At 42.5% G+C, this 23,844-nt stretch overlaps 2 protein-coding genes and 1 long non-coding RNA gene across 11 annotated transcripts in view; 2 read left to right on the top strand and 1 right to left on the bottom strand.

Annotated features, from left to right (window-relative positions):
• The window catches only part of IRAG1 (inositol 1,4,5-triphosphate receptor associated 1), a 120,661-nt gene extending 114,917 nt beyond the window's left edge, over positions 1–5,744 (top strand). For all 6 annotated transcript variants that reach the window (NM_001206881.2, NM_001206880.2, NM_130385.4 and 3 more), the window contains one exon: positions 2,264–5,744. In NM_001206881.2, the coding sequence (NP_001193810.1) occupies positions 2,264–2,507 (244 nt within the window). In that variant the 3' untranslated portion in view covers positions 2,508–5,744. The remainder of the gene's footprint in view (positions 1–2,263) is intronic.
• Positions 1–23,844, bottom strand: part of IRAG1-AS1 (IRAG1 antisense RNA 1) — a 58,697-nt gene that overhangs the window by 21,094 nt on the left and 13,759 nt on the right. The gene's annotated exons all lie outside the window — the stretch shown is intronic.
• Positions 10,174–21,873, top strand: LYVE1 (lymphatic vessel endothelial hyaluronan receptor 1). The gene is made up of 6 exons (NM_006691.4): positions 10,174–10,391; positions 14,465–14,636; positions 14,760–14,899; positions 18,039–18,344; positions 18,945–19,023; positions 19,542–21,873. The coding sequence occupies exons 1-6, from the start codon at positions 10,307–10,309 to the stop codon at positions 19,726–19,728; spliced, it is 969 nt and encodes a 322-aa protein (NP_006682.2). The 5' UTR covers positions 10,174–10,306; the 3' UTR covers positions 19,729–21,873.

Raw genomic sequence — 23,844 nt, 5'->3', positions numbered from 1 at the left:
GGAATATAAACAGTCTGGTTTGCAAAGCAAGGGGCTCAATGTCTTATCTAGCTAATTCAATCTCAGGCAATTGTCAGCTCCCTCCCATTTCATGAAACCCCAGGGGAAGTAAGGCTTAGCTTGGTTCCTTTCTGTCCAGCTCCTGGTCATCAGTGAGTGGCAATGGTGCCTGTAACATTTATCATGCACCTGCTCTCAAACATGATTTCTTCCCTGAAATGTTGGTGCCTCACTAACAAGCAAGGTTTGAGGTTATTAAGAGTTCCATGTCCTACTTATTGCATTTTTAAAACACTGGGTTCAGCCCAGCTGCTGATCGCTTAAGAGATTCAACATCACACATTAAAGTATTTTTGTCTGAGTCACGTATCTGTTATATATAACAATTATGTTACAAATATTGCTCTCTTGAGGATCAGTTTAAATAAACTTTGGGTAAACCCCAATATTTTAACCATATTAAAACAGAAAGCACAGTCTTCTGACATTGAACAAGTGAGACTCATAAGGGACAAGATAAAACTTTTGTCTTTTCTCCTAACGGCTGTTCAAACCAGTTCTATGGGGTTAAGAGGACATTTAGGTTCCTTTACTTTTCCAATAACTCTCAGGAAACAGAAGTTTACTTATTATAACCAAAAATTGACTTCTAAAGAAATTCTATTTCTAATCTATTTCTAAACTCTTTTATAGGCCAGGCATGGGTGACCAGCTAAGGTCACACAGACAGATCTTGGTCTCTTCCTCCAGAGCCACACTTAAGAGTGGGGTTAGAGTAGGGAGAAGCCACTCTGGCACCTTGTTTTGGAGGATGGAAATACAGCCCCAAAGGCTCCATTTTAGCATCCAACTCTGTCTAAATAGAATCTAGAGAATCTACAAAGGGCTGAGAGAAAATAACCTTCTACTTCTAAACCCTGCCTTCCCAACAGTTGTGAAAATAGTCAATGATTTTCAAATCAGCGAATGTGTTCACTTTCGTGCTTTCCTTAATTGTGACTGAAATGATCTGATGGGGTTCCCGCATGGAACGGAAACCTGTCAATGTTCTCTGTGGCCCTAGCATCCAAGGCAGGCATTCTGAGCATCTGGTCCCTTTCTAAGGAGGGCATTTATTGAGTCTGTCAATCCTTTGTTAGTCATGCATTTTCTGCTACCTCAAAATTTGAGCTCTCCGCTTCTCAGCCAATGGCTTGGTCATTGCTGTGTGTGTATGAGCCTCAGGATCTTCAGAAAGCACTTCTATCACTTTCCCCACCTCCTTGGTTCAGGAATCCTCAGTATTCTCATTTTTCATATTATTTTTTAAATTGGGTTAGAGGTTAAAAACATCAGGAAATCCTGGCTTAATGAAGGGGCTCAGGGCTTCTTCAGAGAGCTCTAGAATGAACTTGTCAAAGCAGGCCATCTGCCCGGTGTCTTTTTACCACACCACAGAGAGAGAGAGAGGACAAAATGAAAGACAGTTGGGAAGGAATCAAGAGGGAAAAGGGGCAAAAATGGAGAGGAAGAGAGAGATGAAAGGGATAGAGAAAGAAGTGTGGAGAGAGTGAAGGAAGAAGAGGAGGAAGAGGGAGAAATTAGAGAATAAATATTAATGAGGTTGAGATAACATCATGAACAAACCACCCAGACATTGCTAGAGGCTTCTAATCTTCTGCCTGCTCTTGGATGGTTTGAAGTGAACTCTTGAGGTTGATCTAGTCCCTTGTCATTTATCACTGGATATCAAGCTGCTTAGAGTTTAGCACAGTCCTTCTACTCTGGACACAGTTAGATGTGGAACTGAGAACAATGAATTACGCATCTGAGGCAAGGCACAGGTTAGAGCTTGGAACTGATCATTAATGCAGCTAGGTGCTAAAAAGATGCATGGCCAACCAATCCTGTACCCCCGGGCTTGGGAGAGTGCAGATATCAGTAATCACCCCGTGAATAGATGAGGGCATGTATGGATGGATGATCAAACAATTAAGTAGAATGATCTAGATAAGTAGCTCTCAACTTCAAGGCTGTGGACTGGTGGAATCAAAATCACCTGGGAAAATTTAGCCAATGATTCCTGGACCATAACTTTGGATATTCTCATTTAGTATGCTTGGGGTATTTTGAACAATTGCTGCCAACCCAATCTAGGCACAGCTAAGTTTGAGAACTATTGCTCAAGACAGCATGGAAGCTATCCGCAGAGAGAACTGTGGGTCTGTGTATCATATGTGTGCCCAGTATACTAAAGCCTCTGCATATTTTTTTTCATTGACAGCAAACTTGAAGAATTGGTCCATTTCTTACAAGTCATGTATCCCAAACTGTGTCAGCACTGGCAAGTGATCTGGATGATGGCTGCAGTGATGCTGGTCTTGACTGTTGTGCTGGGGCTCTACAATTCCTATAACTCTTGTGCAGAGCAGGCTGATGGGCCCCTTGGAAGATCCACTTGCTCGGCAGCCCAGAGGGACTCCTGGTGGAGCTCAGGACTCCAGCATGAGCAGCCTACAGAGCAGTAGGAAACCTCACACCTAGCCAGTGCCCTGCTCTGAGACACTCAGACTACCACCCTTTCCCCAAGTATAACGTCAGGCCCAAGTGTGGACACACTGCCGCCCATCCCATCAGGTCATGAGGAAGGGTTCTTTTAACACTCGGCACTTCTGTGGGAGCTATTCATACACAGTGACTTGATGTTCTTGGAGGATCAACAAAACTGCCCTGGGAAAGCATCCAGTGGATGAAGAAGTCACCTTCACCAAGGAACTCTATTGGAAGGGAAGGTCTCCTGCCCCTAGCTCAGGTGGCTGGGGAGAACTAAAACACCTTCACTGGTGGTTGGGGGTAAGGAGCGGGGCACGGGGGAGGAGGAGGTAGGGGGCAGTAAAAAACTTACTCTCTTTTTTCCTCTCTGTAATTGGTTATCAGGAAGAATTTGCTTAATGACTAACACCCTAAGCATCAGACCTGGAATTTGGAGTTGCAAAGTGACTATCTTCCCATTTCCCATCTCATTTTCAATAACTTCAGCCTCCCATTCTTTCCTTTGGAATGAGAGTTTCTTTTTACAGAAGTAGGAAAGGCTTCTCAGAAAAAAAAAAAAAAGTATAGGCTGAATTTAGCTCAGTGCTTGAAATGGGAAGATATGAATTATTATATACGCATCTGTCCACACATACACACATACTGTTGTGTACACACACACAACATGCCTGTGCACAGAGCCAACAACCCTTCAAAAGTGTGCTCTGGGTGTGTACCTCTGGATAAATAAGATGCATGCCAAGCCAACCCACAGATTTTCACCAGTGTGGGGCAGTCACCAGGCACCTGTTCAATGAGCTGTCCACATGGATTGAAGATGTTTTAAAAACACAGAAAACTCATGGCTTCAATGGCAGACTTACTAGTCTCCATTTCAAATGCCAACTCTGAGCTGCTGTACAGCACAATCTATTCCCTATTCTCTCTTTGAAAACAGTTAACCCACCTCACAGGTGAATGAGGAGAGAAGATGTGCTTTCTGCTTCAGTCTCTTACTCTGTGTGTGACCACATGCAAGAGTAAACTTGCACCTCAGTGCTTCAGTTCAAATGGGGTTTCCAACCCCAGTATAATTAGGGGTGTTTCAGAGCATCCCCAGTTATTTAGCACAACACTGAAGGAGCACATCCCCTCTCCATTTTGACTTCTCTCCCCACTTTTACAGCCACTGCCTTCATCAGTTTTGTAGAGGTTTGATTTCCATGTGGGTTTTGTTGTCATTGTTTTGCATTTTTGTTTTGTTATTGATATTGTTTGCTTTCATTGCTAAAACTCATATACGACTTACTATGAGCCAAGCACTGTTCTCAGTATTACATAGGTATGAATTCATTTAAGTCCTGAAGAAAAAGAAAAAAAAATACGAAGTGGATATTACCCTTCCCATTTTCAAATAAGGAAACTGAAGCACAAAAAGAACAAGTAACTTGACAAGGACACCCCGGTAGTAAATCATGGGGCTGGAGCTCAACCCCAGGGTAGGCTGGCTCCAGAGCTGTGCTCTCCTTGACTCTTCTGATGGTCTCCTAGCTGGAAGCCTCACATTTCAGTCTCATTCCCCCAAGTGGCCCATCAGCTACTCCATCTCTGGCTCCCCAACTAAACAGTTTCTCTCATAGTGCTGGACCTCCACTCACTAGTTTTTTTTCCAGCTGTTCTTCTCTTTTCTTCAGGTCACTCTTCTCGACCGAGTGCAAAAATTATCCCCTCCATACCAGCTTTGATGACCTTCCTTCCATACTCCTCACCAGACACAACATAATAGGTCACACACTCCTCTGTGCTTTCTGGCACGTTTTAAACATTATTATTATTGACCTTTACCTATAGTATACCATGGCCTATTTATGTATCCATCTCCCCTAGCATTTTTCCTCAAAGACAAGAACCATGTCTTACCCATCTCTTGGGTAAGTGCCTAGCATGGTGGCTGACGCTTGGGAGGGTGTCATTAAATGTTGCTCAAAAGAACAAGCAAACATTTAAGGTGGTGGAGAGCAGCCTGGGGACAGCTGACATGCTGCATGCTTCTCAGTACCAGCACCATCACAATGCAAAAAGCAACATCTTTCTTAACCTCAGCTTATTCTGTTTTTCAGTCTACTCTGTGAGAGAGCAGGAATGAGACCAGACTAGCAACACCATTGCCAAGCTCAAGGACTGGGCTCAATGCAGTCACTCCTTCAGAGAGACCCCCCACCCCAAGCATGCCCCACTTTAAAATAGCATGTTTATTGAAGGGGGCATCCTTTACAGTAGCTAGAAAATGACTGAGGCCCAAGCCAGGGTTGATCAAGGATGTGCCATTAAGGTAAAGAGTTACAGAGCAGGGCAGAGGGACTCTGGGGGCAGAAGTGGATGATTTGCCCGGCCTCTTCCAGGGGGTCTGGATACAACTGAAGGAGCTTTAGCTACATGAGGCCCTCAGAGCCAAAGACAGGATGCAAATAGAGTTCTAGAGAGTGGCCGTGGAAGCAGAACTCCAGGTGGGGAATGTTCAATCTCTGCCTCCCTTAAAGCAGGGCCAGGCTCAGCTGGCCCCATTGTTCACTTGGTCACAAGTTTCCTACCTTTGTTTCTGGATGAGTCAAAGGCCAGGAAGGCAGTTATGGAGAGCTCCTGCACCTCCAGCTGCCCCACAGAAAAGCCTGCAAGAGTACTTCCAGGCACAGGCCCTCTCCCACCCTATTCCATTTGTAAGCAAGGGAGGTCGAGGAAAAGGACATCTCCAAAAGGGAGCATAAGAATAGCCATATATACAGGGGCTGAAAAAGTGCTCATGAGTCCATCTTTTCTGGAAAGCAAAGACCAGCCTGAAGCAGTGGGAGCTGCTGCCCAAGCGGTAGTGAACTGGAGAGAAACAGGCCCTGGATTTTCAGTGAGGATGTGGATCTGAAGAGTCCCCCAAATGCCTCTGAAGTCTGACATCTCTGCTTAGCCCTAGGAGTCTGGTTCCCTGCCTTCAGTTGCAGAGTGATGTGTTTGTGTCATTGTTGATGTCACCTCCTAAAAAGACCTTCACTTTCTGGCTGCCACAAAGCCATATGTGTTGCTCCCCATATACAGCCTGACAGAGTAAATGGAGAGGAAGTGCTGGATTTGTGTATCACTGGCTATCAGTTCCTCATGTTGTTAAGCCTCACACAGGTGTGCTAGCATTGAACTGTAGAGTGTCACATACCTGAGTTTGAAAATAAAAGCACATTTCCAAACCTCTGGCAGCAGCCAAATGCCTCCTCATTTTATGGAGTTGAATTACAGTCTTACCCCAACCCAGAATTAGATGCCTTTGGATATATTAGTGCATTCCAGAACCAAGTCAGAGGTCCCCAACCCTTGGTCGTTATACTATGGGCTACCTCACAGGGGCTGGATCAGTTCCTCCTCTTCCCTTCCCCATTCCTGATCCTGGTTTCCTGTATCTTCCTGGTCTATGATTTTTTTAATTAACACAGTTTGCTGTGATTGAGTCTGCTGAGTTTTTAACCAACCTGATTTCCACAGCTGAACTATTTTTGTCTTTCTTACAGCTAGCTGCAGGGGAATGTGGACTTTCCAAATCTAGTTCCCTAAAAATAAACTCTCCTGCCCAATACTTCACACCTTTTTTTACTCCCTTCTCTGCCTACCAAAGCCAGAGGATTCAGATGAGAACACTGAGACCCGAGAAAATGGCAGAACCACTAGACGGAAGCTGGGTCTTTGAATGAGCACTCCCAGTATTGAACTGTGACATGAATAAGAAATAAGATTTTAGTATATTAAGCCACAGAGATTCCAGGATGTTTATAGCAGTTAGCCTACCCTAATGCATACATTTGAACCAGAAATTGTGTACTTTAATAGCAAAATTCCAAAATATGAGGTTCTAGCTTACCAGTTACATGGCAAGAAACAAAACTGCTAGAAAGATGGTAAGATAGTAAAGTCTTACCTGTGATAACTTGGAAAGCATCTCATGGTTAGCCTATTTATAAGTGGTGGAAAGAATCAGCGTTGGGGTATGGAAACTTCTCTTGGCTGCCTTTGGCAAGGTATGGCAGGAGAAATAATTGGCTATGTGGGAGCAAAAATGAAAAAGAATATAGAGTATTCAGAAATGTGAAAGATTGAAGGGTGAGAAAACCTGACCACTTCTAAATCCCAGACAGACTAAAAAGAGCTTTGAGTGGGAGCCAATAAAATTTCTCAGTTGAACAGATCGACTCAGCCTTATGGCAAAGGCTAGATTAAGGATGTGGCCCTTTGTGAGTTCAAATGAACTTAGTGTATTCACCACTAAATTTGAGGGGTATGGTGCTGAGAAACAGGAAATACTTCTTGAGAATTATGACTGGGAAAGGATTTGGGGTATGATTATTGGCACATGGAAGCAGAAATCTAACTTTGTGAGGGAATTTACAAAGAAACACAAGCCAGGACTAAAAACCCCTTTCATTGTTCAGGTGAGGAAACAGCTTTGAGGAGGAAAGAAAATATATCAGAGAGATACCTGCACCCTCATGTTTATTGCAGCAGTATTCACAATCGCCAAGATATGGTATTAAAATGTGTCCAGCAACAGATGAGTGGATAAAGAAAACATGGTGTACATACACAACGGAATAGTATTCAGCCGTAAAAAATGAAATCCTGGCATTCACAGCAACATAGATGGAAATGGAGGTCATTATGTGAAGTAAAATAAGCCATGAACAGAAAGTTAACACCACATGTTCTAATTCATGGAAGCTAACAAAAGATCTCATGGAAGTAAAAAACAGAATAGAGGATACTAGTGGCTGGAAAGGGAAGAGAGGAGGAAAAGACAGATTTGTTAAAGGACATAAAATTAGGAGGAACAAGTTATAGTGTTTTATGGCACTATAGGATGACTATAGATAACAATAACATATTTTCAAATAGCTGGAAGAGAAGATATTGAACACCCCCAACACAAAGGATAAATGTTTCAGATGATGGATATGCTAATTAGCCTGATCTGATCACTACATCTTGTTTGTATGGAAACATCAAAATGTACATGTGTATAATTATGTATTGATTAAAAATAAAATTTTTTTAAAATTAAGAAAACTTTTGGGATCTTAGCTTATGCCGGCAGGAAGCAGACTGCAAAAGCTGTGCTATTCCCAAGGAAGGCATACTCCCTAATATCCACTTCAAATGTGGACAAGCAAGATTATATGCAAATGAATCTCCCAGAGGGATGCAAAGGGCCGCAGAAAACAGTGGATGTGGAAGTTTCTCTCAGAAAGCAGATCAGAATCAAATCAAGGTTAAGTGACTGTGGAAGGCAGAATTTCTAGAATAGCCCTCCAAAGATGTCCCACCCTAATCCCTGGAGCCTTTGAATAGGAGCTCCAGGGGTATGGAGCTTTGTTGTGTTACATTAGATGGTACAGTTGACCTTAAGATAGGGAGGTTATCCAGGTGGGCCCATGAGCCCTTAAAAGCAGACAGCTCGCCGGGCGCGGTGGCTCACGCCTGTAATCCCAGCATTTGGGAGGCTGAGGCGGGCGGATCATGAGGTCAGGAGATCGAGACCATCCTGGCTAACACAGTGAAACCCTGCCTCTACCAAAAATACAAAAAATTAGCTGGGTGTGGTGGCGGGCGCCTGTAGTCCCAGATACTCGGGAGGCTGAGGCAAGGAATGGCATGAACCCAGGAGGCAGAGCTTGCAGTGAGCTGAGATCACGCCACTGCACTCCAGCCTGGGCAACAGAGTGAGACTCTGTCTCAAAAAAAAAAAAAAAAAAAAAAAAAGTAGAGAGCTCTGCTTGAGCCCAGGAGGTAGATGCTGCAGTGAGTCACGATGGCGCCACTGCGCTCCAGCCAACAGAGCAAGACCGTGTCTCTTAAAAGAGCAGAGAACTTTCTCTGGCTAACTGTAGAAGTGAAAGAGAGACTAGAAGTATGAGAAGGACTCAGTGTGTCATTGCTGCTTTGAAAATGGAAGGGCTCTAGGAGAAGAGAATGGTCCCTGGCTGACACCCTGCAAGGAAACAGGGACCTCATTCCCACAACCTCAAAGAAATGAATTCTGCCAACAACCCAAATGTGCTTCGAAGTGGATTCTTCCCCAGAGCCTCTGGGTAAGAGCCCAGCCCAGCCAGCACCTTAATGTCAGTTTCGTGAGACCCAGGGCAGAGGACCCAACTGAGCCCACTCAGACCTCTGACATATAGAAGCTGTTAAATGATAAATGAGTACTGTTTAAGCCGCTAAGTCTATGGTAATTTGTTGGACAGCAATAGAAAGCTGGCACAGCGACCTTTCTAAGGCCTCTTCATTGGTATTCCAGAAATTCTATGGCTGGTGATCACTGTGACTCTCATTCTCCTCCTTGACACAAAGCCTTGCCTTCCCTGATTCATTCTTCCCCTTCCTGTCTTCCTTCGTTCTTTTTGCAATAAGTGAACAAATGCTAGAAAGCTAGCTCTCTTTCGGGCATGGTGTTAGGCTTTAAGAATAATCATGAAGAGGCCAGGACTCTGCCTGTCTGCCTCCCTGGTGCTGTGATGATAGAGTCATGCATGTTTCTGAGAAACTGGGGCTTGTGCTCACCCAGATCATGAGGTCGGTATTGGAGATGTGTAAGGGCTGTTACCCTGGTCTTTTAGAAGTTCCCTGCATTTGTTTAGAGCAGATTCTCTTTTTGTTATTGATATTTTTCACACAAATATCTAACTTTATGACCAGTACCACTTATATAAAAAAGAATTCGTTATCCATATACTTTTCCTATAAAAGACATTCATTTTGGAAAAATCTCATAAACCTTTGCCCAAGACATTGCTTACAAGCCAGAACTCCATAATTACCATGAAGCAAAAACCACTGAAAATCCGGCTGGAAAAACATAGAATACACTCTGCTGGTACACAGCACAGATAAACCTCATGTTCATCGAACAACAAAGGTGGAGTCTGACTTGAATTCTGGCCTACCAGAATATGAAAGGAGTTATTAAGAGAAAGTTATTTCATAAAAGACCCCTGTGGTGATTACTATTGTAAAGTTAAAAATCCTTGGGGAAAGTGTAAAATGTTTAATTTTGTAAATTGCCCTCCTACTTGTGTTATGTAAATGTGAATGTTTATATGTGCCTGGTTTCTTTGAAAAAGGAATCACCTGTAGTGGTGTAGAGATTTCAAATGTGTAAAAGGAGACTCAAAGGAAGGCAGAAGGTTCTAGACTCAGTATTTAAGTGGACATTTACTTTCATGAGCTTCAGCATCATACCCTGCAGATCACAAGGCCGAACAGCTGGGTGGAAAAATCACTGATTGCGGGAGGAAAAGAGGCACAACCTATGCTCAGTCTCCTTTAGGGACAGAGATGTTTCTAGGAGTACATAAACGATGGACTCCACAGGCAGTAACAGTGAATGGTGTGAGAACTGAGCTGCTGGGGGAGGAGGAACAGCAGGGAATATGGGAATTGGGAGAACCTTTAGCAGTTCACACTGTGCTATCTGCCTTCCTCATTTGTGTGTTTTCTGAGTCAGCATTAGCTAAATTTTCCAGAAGGCCATCCACAAAGTACAGCCTGGGCGTTCAAGGGACGTCATTCATTTCCCCCAGTGACCTTGACAAGTCAGAAGCTTGAAAGCAGGGAAATCCGGATGTCTCGGTTATGAAGTGGAGCAGTGAGTGTGAGCCTCAACATAGTTCCAGAACTCTCCATCCGGACTAGTTATTGAGCATCTGCCTCTCATATCACCAGTGGCCATCTGAGGTGTTTCCCTGGCTCTGAAGGGGTAGGCACGATGGCCAGGTGCTTCAGCCTGGTGTTGCTTCTCACTTCCATCTGGACCACGAGGCTCCTGGTCCAAGGCTCTTTGCGTGCAGAAGGTAGGTTTCTCACCAGATTTCCAAACTGAAGCAAGGCTTCAGTCCTAAGCCTCCTAAGCTGTTGACTATGGATTTCTGGGAATGAGGGTGACCCTCAGTGTCAACAGCAGGTCTAATTGGTGGTACTGCTCTGCCAAAAATGTACCACCATATTGTCAACTTCACCAAAATGATTGACATTTACGTTTGTATCATCTGGACTTTTACTTTTGGTTATGGAATATTTTTAATGAGGACATTTTGAAATAAAACACTGAAGAGAAACCATTTGATTTTTACTCTTTTTTGTATGGGTGGTATTTAAATTTTTTGTAGCAATGGGATCTCGCTTTGTTGCCCAGCCTGGTCTTGAACTCCTGGCTTCAAGTGATCGTCCTGCCTCAGCCTACCAAAGTACTGGGATTGCAGGCATGAGCCACTGCATCCAGAAGTAATAATTTTTTTTTAAGTATTTCATTGAAGACGCAAACCATGATTGTAAAAAATTTAAAGCAATCACTAAGCTTGGGAATAATGGGTAACTTTCACTAAAATTGGCCTGTTTTTATGTTTTTTGGGAGTGTTAGCATAATTATTTTAATTTTGATTTTATCATACCATGAATGAGGTGCAATGTTTTAAAAAAATATTCAGTAAATAGCAAATTAGCTGAAAAAAATCTGTAAAAATATAAGTTTGAAAATTAAGCCATCGGCTGTCTACTAAAGGAATGACTTAAAGTGATCGCTGGGCTTTTGAGATGCCTAAATGGAAACCTCATTTTGCACTGTAGGCAAAAAAATTGTAACCACAAATCACTCATTGCAGCTCTGGGCAAATGAAAATCTGAGCACTTTAATAGGAAAATGTGTGTTCCTATGCTGGAAGATGACCTGAGATATAAAATATGCTAGAAACAGACATTCAGAGTTGATTTATATGTTGTTGCATTACATTTTATAAGAAAGGTCAGAGTTATATGATTAGTTTTTTAAAATACTGTTACTTTCAAATAAGTTTGGTCCTCTTTGAAATCCTCTGGGGAGACTATTTTTCCCCACAATGCTGCCATTATTCAAACTATTGGACACTGTTTTTTGAAAATGACTCCATCACACTCTGGACTATCCTCAGCAAGGGAAAAAGATTTTCTAGGGAAATTACATTTTTGGAAACAACCAAAAGTCAGCATAACCATGACTGCAGAATAAAGTAGTTGATGAAGGTAAGTGAATAGGGGTGGGAACTATATTTGAGGGCCAAGTATATAGTGATCCAGAGCTAGGTGTGTATATACAATTTCATTTAATCCTCTCAAAAAGACAGTTTATAGGTGAAGTGACTTGCCCAATGTCATGCAGGCAGTACATAATAAATATTGGGTTTGAATTCAGCCCTATCTGATTCCTAAGCATATGCTATTATCTGATTCCACATCCTTATATCTAACTCCTAAGCATACACTATTTCTACTATGTTTGCTGTTTCCTGAGAAATCTTAAGGAAGGAGTTACTGGAGTACTCCCTTAAATTCCAGCTCCCTCTTTTGATCCCTAAATGAAATAGGAAAGCATAAAATGACTAATGTTGTTGACTTCCTACTGGGCCCCGCCTCTGCTAGGTACAAGTTATCTAATTTAATTCTGATAAAAATCATGTGAAGAAGATATATCCATCCCCATTTTCAGATGAGAATGCTGACTTGCCTGATGTCGCAACAGCCAGTTAACAATAGAAAAAATATTCAAAGCTAAGTCTATCCACCTAGAATAAGTCTATCACTCCTCTAAATAATAGTATTTAGAGTACAAATGACATATGATGAGAGGGTAGTAAGACCAATTGATAATGTGACAAATAAACCTCTGCAATCCATTCCCAAAGAAGTAGCTATAAGAGACCTGAGCAATAGCAAGCTCATGAGCTAAAAGAGCCAAATTTCAGAGCAAACGGTGTGTTCAGGGAGTTCAGCCTAGGGGTGTGTGTGTGTCTGTGTGTGTTCATTTCCTTATAGCACTGTGAAAGGTAAAACAGTGTCATTGTTAAGAACTGGGGGCCGGGTTGGGCACGGTGGTTCATGACTGTAATCTCAGCACTTTAGGAGGCCGAGGTGGGTGGATCACCTGAGGTCAGGAGTTTGAGACCAGCCTGGCCAACATGGTGAAACCCCATCTCTACAAAAAATACAAAAATTAGCTGGGCATGGTGTCTCGCGTCTGTAGTCCCAGCTAGTCAGGAGGCTGAAGCACAAGAGTTGCTTGGACCCGGGAGGCAGAGGTTGCAGTGAGCATGGATCACGCCACTGCACTGCAGCCTGGGTGACAGAACGAGACTCTGTCTCAAAAAAGAAAAAAAAAAGGGCCAGGCACAGTGGCTCACGCCTGTAATCCCAGCACTTTGGGAAGCCAAGGTGGGTGGATCACCTGAGGTCGGCAGTTCAAGACCAACCTGACCAACATGGAGAAACCCTGTCTCTACTAAAAGTACAAAATTAGCCAGGTTTGGTGGCACATGCCTGTAATCCCAGCTACTTGGGAGAATGAGGCAGGAGAATCGCTTGAACCCAGGAGGTGGAGGTTACAGTGAGCCGAGATCACGCTATTGCACTCCAGCCTGGGCAACAAGAGTGAAACTCCGTCTCAAAAAAAAAAAAAGAACTGGGGTTCTTGCTTGGCCATACTGGTGCACACCTGTAGTTCCAGCTACTCAGGGAGGCTGAGGTGGGAGGATTGCTTGAGCCCAGGAATTTACGACCAGCCTGGGCAACATAGCAAGATCCATCTCTTGGGAAAGAAGAAGGAAAAAAGAGGAACTGGGGTTTTAGAATCAGGCATAATTGAGTGTGTGCTCCTAATCTGCCACCACAGCAAGGTTCATATGGAGGACTTAGAAATGCTCCTTCCATGTTTTCAAAAAGAAACTTCCATTAGATATCAACCTAGGAAGTGGTCAAAGCATTTGACTGAGCATCCAATACACAGAGCTGCGTACAAGCAATTACTTGAGAGATTTAAATGCCCTTTTATGGATGTTTGTGGATGAAGCCCAGTAGGAATAATGTATTTGAATACAATACAACTTGGCAATTTTATACAGGTCTGTACATCCCAGAACCCAGAGAAAAGGGTTCAAAAGAATTCCCAAATCCATTAGATTTTGAGTAGAAATATTATTCATATCTTACCTATTCAACAGCCTCAGCTTCTGTGGGGTAATCAATCATTAGCAGACCAAAACCAAAATGCTTTAACGATAATGATAATGTTATGTGGATTTATTAAGCACCTACCATGTGGCAGGCACTATGCTAAACATTTGTATTAGAATTTACTCACTTAACTTTCACTACCCTATTCAGTAGACACTGTTACTCCCTTGAATTTATAAACAAGGAGGCTCAAAGAGCTGAAGATTAAAGAGATGAAGTATCTAGGCTAAGGTCACAGAGCTAGCAAATGACATATGCTAGATCTAAGCCCAAGTCTGACTCTAAAATTCTGCTTTCTTCATTTAGTTTTTCTGCCATTCAAAGTTTACTGCCAGCTCCTCCAGGAACTTCTGAGTAAGCCTGTCCCCCAGTGGCCAAAAGACCTGGAACTGAGAGCACTCACATTCTTTTATAACAAGTGTGACATTTTCAGCCCATCTCACAAATAGTAGTGTCCCCAAACCACATTGGTTTGGGGTATTGCTAACTATTCTATGAACTAGAGCCCTGAATTCTATCTTTCTCAAAGTCTCAGATGCTTCATTTTACAGACTCCAGAAAGGTTTGCAGTAACTGCATCCCTTAGACTGCACCCCAACAACAGGTAGCCAAAGCCCCTATATGGTGAGCAAGGCATCTTAATGCAGTGGGATGGGATAGATTTTGATTGGGCGACATTTACAGCTTGGACAAGAACAAGCATCCATCTAGCCCAGCAGATGGTCCTTGTGGAAAATGCCTGGTCTGTGTCCTGTTATTCTAAACCCCAGTCCCAGCCAGATAGACCTCCCTGCGCATCAGGACGATATACTCTGCTGGGAAGGAGAGTCTAAGGGCTGGAAACAAGGACAGCAGCAAACTGAGGACCTATGTGATTCCTTTGCAGAGCTTTCCATCCAGGTGTCATGCAGAATTATGGGGATCACCCTTGTGAGCAAAAAGGCGAACCAGCAGCTGAATTTCACAGAAGCTAAGGAGGCCTGTAGGCTGCTGGGACTAAGTTTGGCCGGCAAGGACCAAGTTGAAACAGCCTTGAAAGCTAGCTTTGAAACTTGCAGGTGAGAAAAAGCTGGTTTCACTGTCACTGCTGGAGTTCTTTTTTAGCTCTGTGTTCTTGTTCAGCAATAGAGATGAAGCCTTCTAATCATTTTTCTGTTCAACTAGTGTGTATTCTTTTACAGCTATGGCTGGGTTGGAGATGGATTCGTGGTCATCTCTAGGATTAGCCCAAACCCCAAGTGTGGGAAAAATGGGGTGGGTGTCCTGATTTGGAAGGTTCCAGTGAGCCGACAGTTTGCAGCCTATTGTTACAACTCATCTGGTGAGTCTGATCTGCAACCTTTCCACGTGGCATTCTCTGGGTATCTCTCACTCTGAGACCTGTCTGGGAAGAGTAACCCTGAGCAGCAGCAGAAGCAATCACAGCCACGGCCATCTAATTCTCCCGACACTGTCTCTCTGGCCAGGCTAGGGGTGGCAATATGCCCCTCAAAGGAAAAAGTTAGGAGAGATATAACTGAATGGCAACACACGAGAAGACATTCAGGAGGCTCAATTACCACTGCCACCATCCCTGCATCCTATAAGATAAGCAGGCAGAAGGGAAGGAACAAAGGTACAGATGTATGTAATGCATCCATTATGGACAAAGTGATGCACAGTCGTCCCTCAGTGTCAGTGGGAGATTGGTTCCGGCACCCCATCATATACAAAAATCTACAGATGCCCAAGTCCCTGATATAAAATGGGGTCATATTTGCATATAACCTACACACATCCTCCTGTACACTTTAAATCATCTCTAAACTACTTATAATACCTAATACAATGTAGATGCTATGTAAACAGTCATTGTACTGTATTATTTGCTTTTTTATTGTTGTATTGTTATTTTTCTTTTTTTCCCAAATATTTTCAATCCAAGGTTGGTTGCTTCCACCTATATGGAATCTACAGATCCCTATGAGATATGCTTTATCATCCCCACTTTGCAAATAAAGAAACCGAGTTCAGGCCGGGCACAGTGGCTCATGCCTGTAATCCCAGCACTTTGGGAGGCCGAGGCGGGCAGATCACAAGGTCAGGAGATTGAGACCATCCTAACACGGTGAAACCCCGTCTCTACTAAAAATACAAAAAATTAGCCAGGCGTGGTGGCAGGCACCTGTAGTCCCAGCTACTCGGGAGGCTGAGGCAGGAGAATGGCATGAACCCAGGAGGCGGAGCTTGCAGTGAGCCAAGATCATGCCATTGCACTCCAGCCTGGGCGACAGAGTGAGACTCCGTCTCAAAAAAAAAAAAAAAAAAAAAAAAAGAAACCGAGTTCAAAGGATGTAAACACATTTGTCTAACGTCTCATTACTGTAAAGGTTCAGACTCAGGTCTAACTCTGAAACCGCACTCTTTCCACTGTTCCACATTCCTTTATAATTTTAAGAACCAGACCCAGTCTCCACTTTATGAAGGAAAAGATTGACACCTGGAGGGCAGCACTGATTTGTTCGTGGTCATGAAGTCACCCACTAACCTTGCTTGAAGACCTTGGCTGCCTTAGCCCAAGTGCTTCACCTAAGTACTTCTCCTAAAGTTTTTCTTTTACTAAATACTCACTTGCTCTCAGTTTGTCATAAGGACCCCTGTCTGATTATTACTTTTCACACATACTCATCTATCTGACCTTCTGAAGGTTAGGTGGCTGAGAGGTCATACACAGGATAGATTTCAAGATCATTCTCGAAGATCCGAGAGATAAATGTGCACCAGCCAATATTAGCAAAAACTGTCCCAGAAAGGCAATATAGGATCCAAGTAGTTCCCTGATCCAGAGGGCTTTGGCACAGAAAAGGCCCATGGAGAAACTTTGACCAGTTCCCTCACTTCATGGATGAAACAACTACAGTTCAGAACACGGGCTTAGCTTGTTCAAGGTCCTACGGTCAGTTAGTGGCAGAATCAAGACTGAAACATAGGGCTTCTCCTAACAGTGTATTTCCCATCTTCCTTCCCTTCTCTGCCTCTTTGGTCTATCATCACTGGCTGGGGAATTGGTGAGCTACATATGCCTGCATACCTCATAGCCAGCCCATGCCTGTCAAATGGCTTTGCTTTTTAACTGCCTTCCTGCCAGCTGGCAATGTGATGATACCCAGCCCTCTGACTAAACAGAGAAGAGCCAGAGGAAGAGGACTTGGATTTGTCTATTTCCTCATGGTTTCATTTAACTTGTACTCCCATCCCATGTATTTCTTTTCTTTTTTTCCAGAGATAATTTTATTTTATTATTTTATTTTTATTATACTTTAAGTTCTGGGATACACGTGCAAAATGTGCAGGTTTGTTACATAGGTATACATGTGCCATGGTGGTTTGCTGCACCCATCAACCCGTCACCTACGTTAGGTATTTCTTCTAATGCTATCCCTCTGCTAGCCCACCCCCCAACCCCAGCTGATGCTACCCACTGCCACAAATAATTAGGGACTTAAAATAGATGCAAATTTATATTATAATATATTGCATGGCTCTGCCATTTACTAGCTCTGTGACTTTGGGCGAGTTATTCAATTTCTCTAAACTTCAGTTTCCTCCTGTGTAAACAAGGGTTTAGTAATATTGTTCAATGAGATACCTATTTAAACACTTACTGCCATGGTCAACTCAGATTAAGATGCTTTAACAAGTGTTTCCTCTCTAGCACATGCAACAGATTGGAAAGCAAACCCTTATCCCTCTCCTGGTCCCTTTTTGTTCACTTCTTTTTTTAATGAGCCCAGAAATATCAGGTCTTAGCATATCTTTGTCCTGAAGTGACACCACATGTGTATATTTGGTCTTCCAATCTATACTTTCCTTCCTTTCCCTTTTCCTTCCTTCCCTATTCATCAAATAGTTATTGAGCATGTGCTATGTACCACACACAGTGCTCATACCATGCTGACCAAGACAGACGGGGTTTCTGCTGCCAGAGAGCTTGCAGTCCAGTGGGGAACAGTGTAATGAGAACTGTGACAAGGAAGTACAAGAACATATGCCAATCAAGTCAACAAGTCTGCCTGAGAAAGACAGGGTCAATCTGAGACCTGAGGGATGAGTCAGAGTAAGCTAAATAAAGAGAGGCAAAGAGTCATAAAGGTGAATAAAGCATCGTGGTGCAAGGCTTGGATGTAAGATAAAGTGTATCAAGGAATTTCAAGTAATTTCAGTATGGCAGGGGCAATGAGAGAAAAAGAGCAGATGAGGCTGGCATGTTAGCAGGGGCCAAATCACAGAAGGCCTTGTAGGCCATACAACAAAGATAGCCACTGAAGGCTTCTAAGGAAGAAAGTGATATGGTTAGATTTGCTTTTTAAAGACCATTCCAGCTGCGGTATAAGGGGTTTGGAGGTAGTAAGACTAGAGGCAAGAAGAACAGTTAGGAGGCTGTTGCAATACTTTTATTCCATGTTTCCCTATCCCAACAGATACTTGGACTAACTCGTGCATTCCAGAAATTATCACCACCAAAGATCCCATATTCAACACTCAAACTGCAACACAAACAACAGAATTTATTGTCAGTGACAGTACCTACTCGGTGGCATCCCCTTACTCTACAATACCTGCCCCTACTACTACTCCTCCTGCTCCAGCTTCCACTTCTATTCCACGGAGAAAAAAATTGATTTGTGTCACAGAAGTTTTTATGGAAACTAGCACCATGTCTACAGAAACTGAACCATTTGTTGAAAATAAAGCAGCATTCAAGAATGAAGCTGCTGGGTTTGGAGGTAAATGGTTTCTGTGTCTATGTTACGTGTGTATGTATGTTCATGTATAACAGATAATTCATAGAATCCTGCCTGTCTTTAGATGAGGCGCTCAGGACCTGTCAAATACTAATAAAAGCTTAACACAAACTCAACTTTCATGAAGTCATAGAATCTGAGAGCTGTAAAGAACCTTAGTGATTAAGCTAAAAAGTGTAAGTATAAAAGAATTTCACTGTTGAAAACTCAAGACTTTTAAAAATAAATCACTATCTGTTCCTATGCATAAGTTCTTTTTAAAATATATACCCTAAAGGCCTATGACTTTATTCTAGTCATCTCTTTCTCAGGCAGGCTTGTTGACTAGAGTAGGTCTCAAGGCCATGGAGGAGAAATGAACTCTGTCATATTGCAACTGATAGAATTGAGAGTGTGAGAAGCAAGGCCAATGATTCTACAAGCATGAAGCAAAGAAGCTGGTGTGGGCCCAATATCATAAAGGGCTACAGAGAAGGTTTTTCTCCTGTACTGTCTACTGTCTCAATCACCTGGATCATGCAATGAGCATTACACACAATGTTTAAGTGAAGGACCAACAGGCCTTGTCTCTGTTCCTTGCAGGTGTCCCCACGGCTCTGCTAGTGCTTGCTCTCCTCTTCTTTGGTGCTGCAGCTGGTCTTGGATTTTGCTATGTCAAAAGGTAGGGTTGTTGGTGCACTGCTAGTCTTGTAATCTTTGTCATGTTTCTATCCTGTGCTTTTTCAGGGTCACTGTTGGCATTTTGCTGATCAAAATGGAGATAGCAGTCCTCTGATATAAATTTCTCCCTCATCTCATCTCTTTCCCTTCAGCCCAATCTTTTCTATTTCAGGACATGCATGTCGTCCAGCCATCAGTCAATGACTGTCCTTTGAAAATCAAGAAATTAAAAAAAATTGACATCTGGGGAAAATTTATATGCTTTATTTGATTTTTGGTTCTTTGTTTTTGTTGGAAGAGTTATGTGGTCAGCCTAAAGTCTGGCCTGCAAACATATTGTCCAATTTAAATGAATCCATTAAGGTGGTGATGTCTTAATGTATTAGAGCATGCATGTGCTGGCATCACTCTGAAATAAAGGTATCCAGTGTACTGTGCCAATATGTACCATGGCCAAAAAGTGTTATCTATCGTTATGTGTGAGAGTCTCTCACTTTAATTTCATGTTTCTGCCTAAAGGTATGTGAAGGCCTTCCCTTTTACAAACAAGAATCAGCAGAAGGAAATGATCGAAACCAAAGTAGTAAAGGAGGAGAAGGCCAATGATAGCAACCCTAATGAGGAATCAAAGAAAACTGATAAAAACCCAGAAGAGTCCAAGAGTCCAAGCAAAACTACCGTGCGATGCCTGGAAGCTGAAGTTTAGATGAGACAGAAATGAGGAGACACACCTGAGGCTGGTTTCTTTCATGCTCCTTACCCTGCCCCAGCTGGGGAAATCAAAAGGGCCAAAGAACCAAAGAAGAAAGTCCACCCTTGGTTCCTAACTGGAATCAGCTCAGGACTGCCATTGGACTATGGAGTGCACCAAAGAGAATGCCCTTCTCCTTATTGTAACCCTGTCTGGATCCTATCCTCCTACCTCCAAAGCTTCCCACGGCCTTTCTAGCCTGGCTATGTCCTAATAATATCCCACTGGGAGAAAGGAGTTTTGCAAAGTGCAAGGACCTAAAACATCTCATCAGTATCCAGTGGTAAAAAGGCCTCCTGGCTGTCTGAGGCTAGGTGGGTTGAAAGCCAAGGAGTCACTGAGACCAAGGCTTTCTCTACTGATTCCGCAGCTCAGACCCTTTCTTCAGCTCTGAAAGAGAAACACGTATCCCACCTGACATGTCCTTCTGAGCCCGGTAAGAGCAAAAGAATGGCAGAAAAGTTTAGCCCCTGAAAGCCATGGAGATTCTCATAACTTGAGACCTAATCTCTGTAAAGCTAAAATAAAGAAATAGAACAAGGCTGAGGATACGACAGTACACTGTCAGCAGGGACTGTAAACACAGACAGGGTCAAAGTGTTTTCTCTGAACACATTGAGTTGGAATCACTGTTTAGAACACACACACTTACTTTTTCTGGTCTCTACCACTGCTGATATTTTCTCTAGGAAATATACTTTTACAAGTAACAAAAATAAAAACTCTTATAAATTTCTATTTTTATCTGAGTTACAGAAATGATTACTAAGGAAGATTACTCAGTAATTTGTTTAAAAAGTAATAAAATTCAACAAACATTTGCTGAATAGCTACTATATGTCAAGTGCTGTGCAAGGTATTACACTCTGTAATTGAATATTATTCCTCAAAAAATTGCACATAGTAGAACGCTATCTGGGAAGCTATTTTTTTCAGTTTTGATATTTCTAGCTTATCTACTTCCAAACTAATTTTTATTTTTGCTGAGACTAATCTTATTCATTTTCTCTAATATGGCAACCATTATAACCTTAATTTATTATTAACATACCTAAGAAGTACATTGTTACCTCTATATACCAAAGCACATTTTAAAAGTGCCATTAACAAATGTATCACTAGCCCTCCTTTTTCCAACAAGAAGGGACTGAGAGATGCAGAAATATTTGTGACAAAAAATTAAAGCATTTAGAAAACTTCTTTGCTTTCTTATTTACGTAGATGCATTATACCTTTCATGTAAAATTAAAGTGAGGACCAGATCATATCATATTGTTTGCAAAAATAAAAGGGACAATGTTGGTTGTTAAAATACAAGCATATGTCAACCAAACAGCATATATCATATGGGGCTATTCATGCTCCAAACATTTTATTTTGAGTTGGCCAAGTACATACACATTAAACAGTCCTTTACTAGAGATGCTGGCCCTCCATTTCCATCCATTTCAGAATTCACCAGGGAGCCAGAGATCCAGGATGGCTCATTCGTCTCACTTTTGACCGCCCTGCTTCTCTAGTTTTCTCTTTCCCTCCCGCTTAGACTGCTAATTGTCTTCTTCCCCTCACCAGTGACCCCACAGCTCCGTGGTTCCTTCGGCCCAGATGCCACAACCTGCTGGCATAATCTTTTCCGGTTGGCCCACGGAGTATAATCTTAAAATTTGATTTCATTTCCAGGCATTAAAAATCAAGAGATTTCACATGGTTACATTTCTGGGTTCCCTCTAAAAATGGAAAGATCTGGAAGTAAAGAACCCATGTTCCCTCATAGCAATCATTATCTGATACTGAGTAGCAGCTGTCCCCTTTCAATGGGGTCTGCTCTTTTTGTTTCACCACAGTCCTCATGACTCTCTGTTGCACACTCATGCCAAAGTAAAGGTGCCCTTTCCTATGAACTTTGTAACACTGTGGCCTTTTCTTCACACCCAGCCCACGTCCCTCATATATATCACCTGCCTGCCCCAGTAGGTCTATGAGTTTGAAACTGGTTTGTCAGTCCTTAAGCTTTATCAGCTTCATCCATTTCTCAGGGAGTAAAGAAGAAAAGAGGGAAAGCGCCTAAGTAGTGATCTTCCCTCTGTGTGTTAGCTGAAAAAAAAAAAACAGATCTCCCACACCACATCTCCCATCTTGTGGGCATCTACTACATATTAGAATGCTACCACCTTCTCCTGTTAAACAGGTTTGTGCCGTATCCAGGAGGAGGAAGTGGGGAGGAGAAAACCCTGCCCAGCCACATAAAATCACTCAATAGCCCAAATATCATGTGCAAACATACTGATAAGAATGTAACTTCCATGATTATGGAAGGAAGGAAGGAAGGAAGGAAGGAAGGAAGGAAGGAAGGAAGGAAGGAAGGGTGGGCTGGCTGATTTATGGAGCATCTACTAAGTGACAGTCATTTTACATGTTGCCTCATTTAATCTCTACACTTTCCCTGAGAGGTGAGGATAATTACTGCCATTTTTATTAATTAGAAAACTGGATGTTTAGAGAAGTTAAATCACTTTCTGAGGTCACAGGTCTAGTTAAATGGTAAAGGTCAGAGTGACTGCAAAGCCCATGCTCCTTTCCCTACTCCACAGTGCTTCTCTTGCAAATGACAATATAGAAATGTAAACTATTCCAATATGCAAGCTTGAGATTGGACACTTAACACAAACAACAGGGGTGAAGTAAGGAAAACAACTTAGGACTCCTGTGTCAACTTCACAGAATCTATCTTAAATCCGTTGGCAATGACAAGGAGAAAAAGAGAACCACTAAAGAACTTTGAGAACTGCCTCCTCATTGATGTAGACACCAGCCTCAACAAAGACCTACCTGAGCCAGTTCATAGGGTCAGAAAATATAAGGCTCAGAAGGATCCAGAATAATTTCCTCTAAACCCTTCATTCACAGAGTAAATAAAATGAAGCTACCAATGTCACAGGTAGCTAAAGTTAGGGCTTGGTCTAGAAATCTCCTCCTTATTTAAATTTTCTTTATTCTCCACTGAACAAAGAGAAATTGGAAGAATGCAAGAGATCTCCCCACTTCAGACCTACAGTCCACCTCGCCACAGCCAGTCTTCAAAAGAGGCAGGTGGAGAGCCACGTGATGGCATTTTCAGCTGGTGCAAAGGATCTTCCCTGCCCTTTCAGAATGCCCCTTCTTCATGCCTGCCTCCCTGGCTCACACAGAATAAATCCACTCCTTTGAGCAAAGACACTCTATCCTGAGAAGGAGTCATCTGCAAAATTGTATGCTTTTATAAAGGCCAGGCCACCATCAAACATTAACATGCCAATATAGGTCCAATCAAGCAAAGCTGATTTCCAAGAATAGGAAGCTGGACTAACGCAGATGACTTGAGGCTCCACACAGGGCTTGCACACAACTGGAGTCTACAGATATCATTTGGCTTGAAAAGAATTGAATCATATTGATTTCTAGACAAGGATCCTAAATTGTATTGCCTCTAGACCTTCAGCTAGTACCTAAAGCAAAATCAATTGCTCTAGGGAAAAACAAGTTTGTAAGGACAATAATAACATGCAAGTAAATACGTTTTTACTAAGGAATGGGAGGGTCTCTCACACCAAAAAGAAAATGTTTTACTATTATGAATGGTGCCACAATAAACATACGTGTGCATGTGTCTTTATAGCAGCATGATTTATAATCTTTTGGGTATATACCCAGTAATGGGATGGCTGGGTCAAATGGTATTTCTAGTTGTAGATAGCAAAGAGTTGGAACCAACCCAAATGTCCGTCAATATAGACTGGATTAAGAAAATGTGGCACACAGGTACCATGGAATACTATGCAGCCATAAAAAAGGATGAGTTCATGTCCTTTGTAGGGACATGGATGAAGCTGGAAACCATCATTCTGAGCAAACTATCACAAGGACAGAAAACCAAACACCACATGTTCTCAGTCATAGGTGGGAATTGAACAATGAGAACACTTGGACACAGGGTAGGGAACATCACACACCGGGCCTGTCGTGGGGTGGGGGGAGGGGGGAGGGATAGCATTAGGACATATACCTAATGTAAATGACAAGTTAATGGGTGCA

Source organism: Homo sapiens, chromosome 11 (assembly GCF_000001405.40).
Source record: "Homo sapiens chromosome 11, GRCh38.p14 Primary Assembly".
Taxonomy (NCBI): Eukaryota; Metazoa; Chordata; class Mammalia; order Primates; family Hominidae; genus Homo; species Homo sapiens.
The sequence above is the reverse complement of the archived record's forward strand: the minus strand, read 5'-3'. Positions and strand labels throughout refer to the sequence as shown.

Excerpts from the sequence above, each read along its gene's own strand:
- LYVE1 (NM_006691.4), top strand. The coding sequence starts at position 10,307 with ATGGCCAGGTGCTTCAGCCTGGTGTTGCTTCTCACTTCCATCTGGACC. Across the intron at positions 14,637-14,759 it reads GCTAGCTTTGAAACTTGCAG|CTATGGCTGGGTTGGAGATG; the intron begins GTGAGAAAAAGC and ends ATTCTTTTACAG. Across the intron at positions 14,900-18,038 it reads CTATTGTTACAACTCATCTG|ATACTTGGACTAACTCGTGC; the intron begins GTGAGTCTGATC and ends CTATCCCAACAG.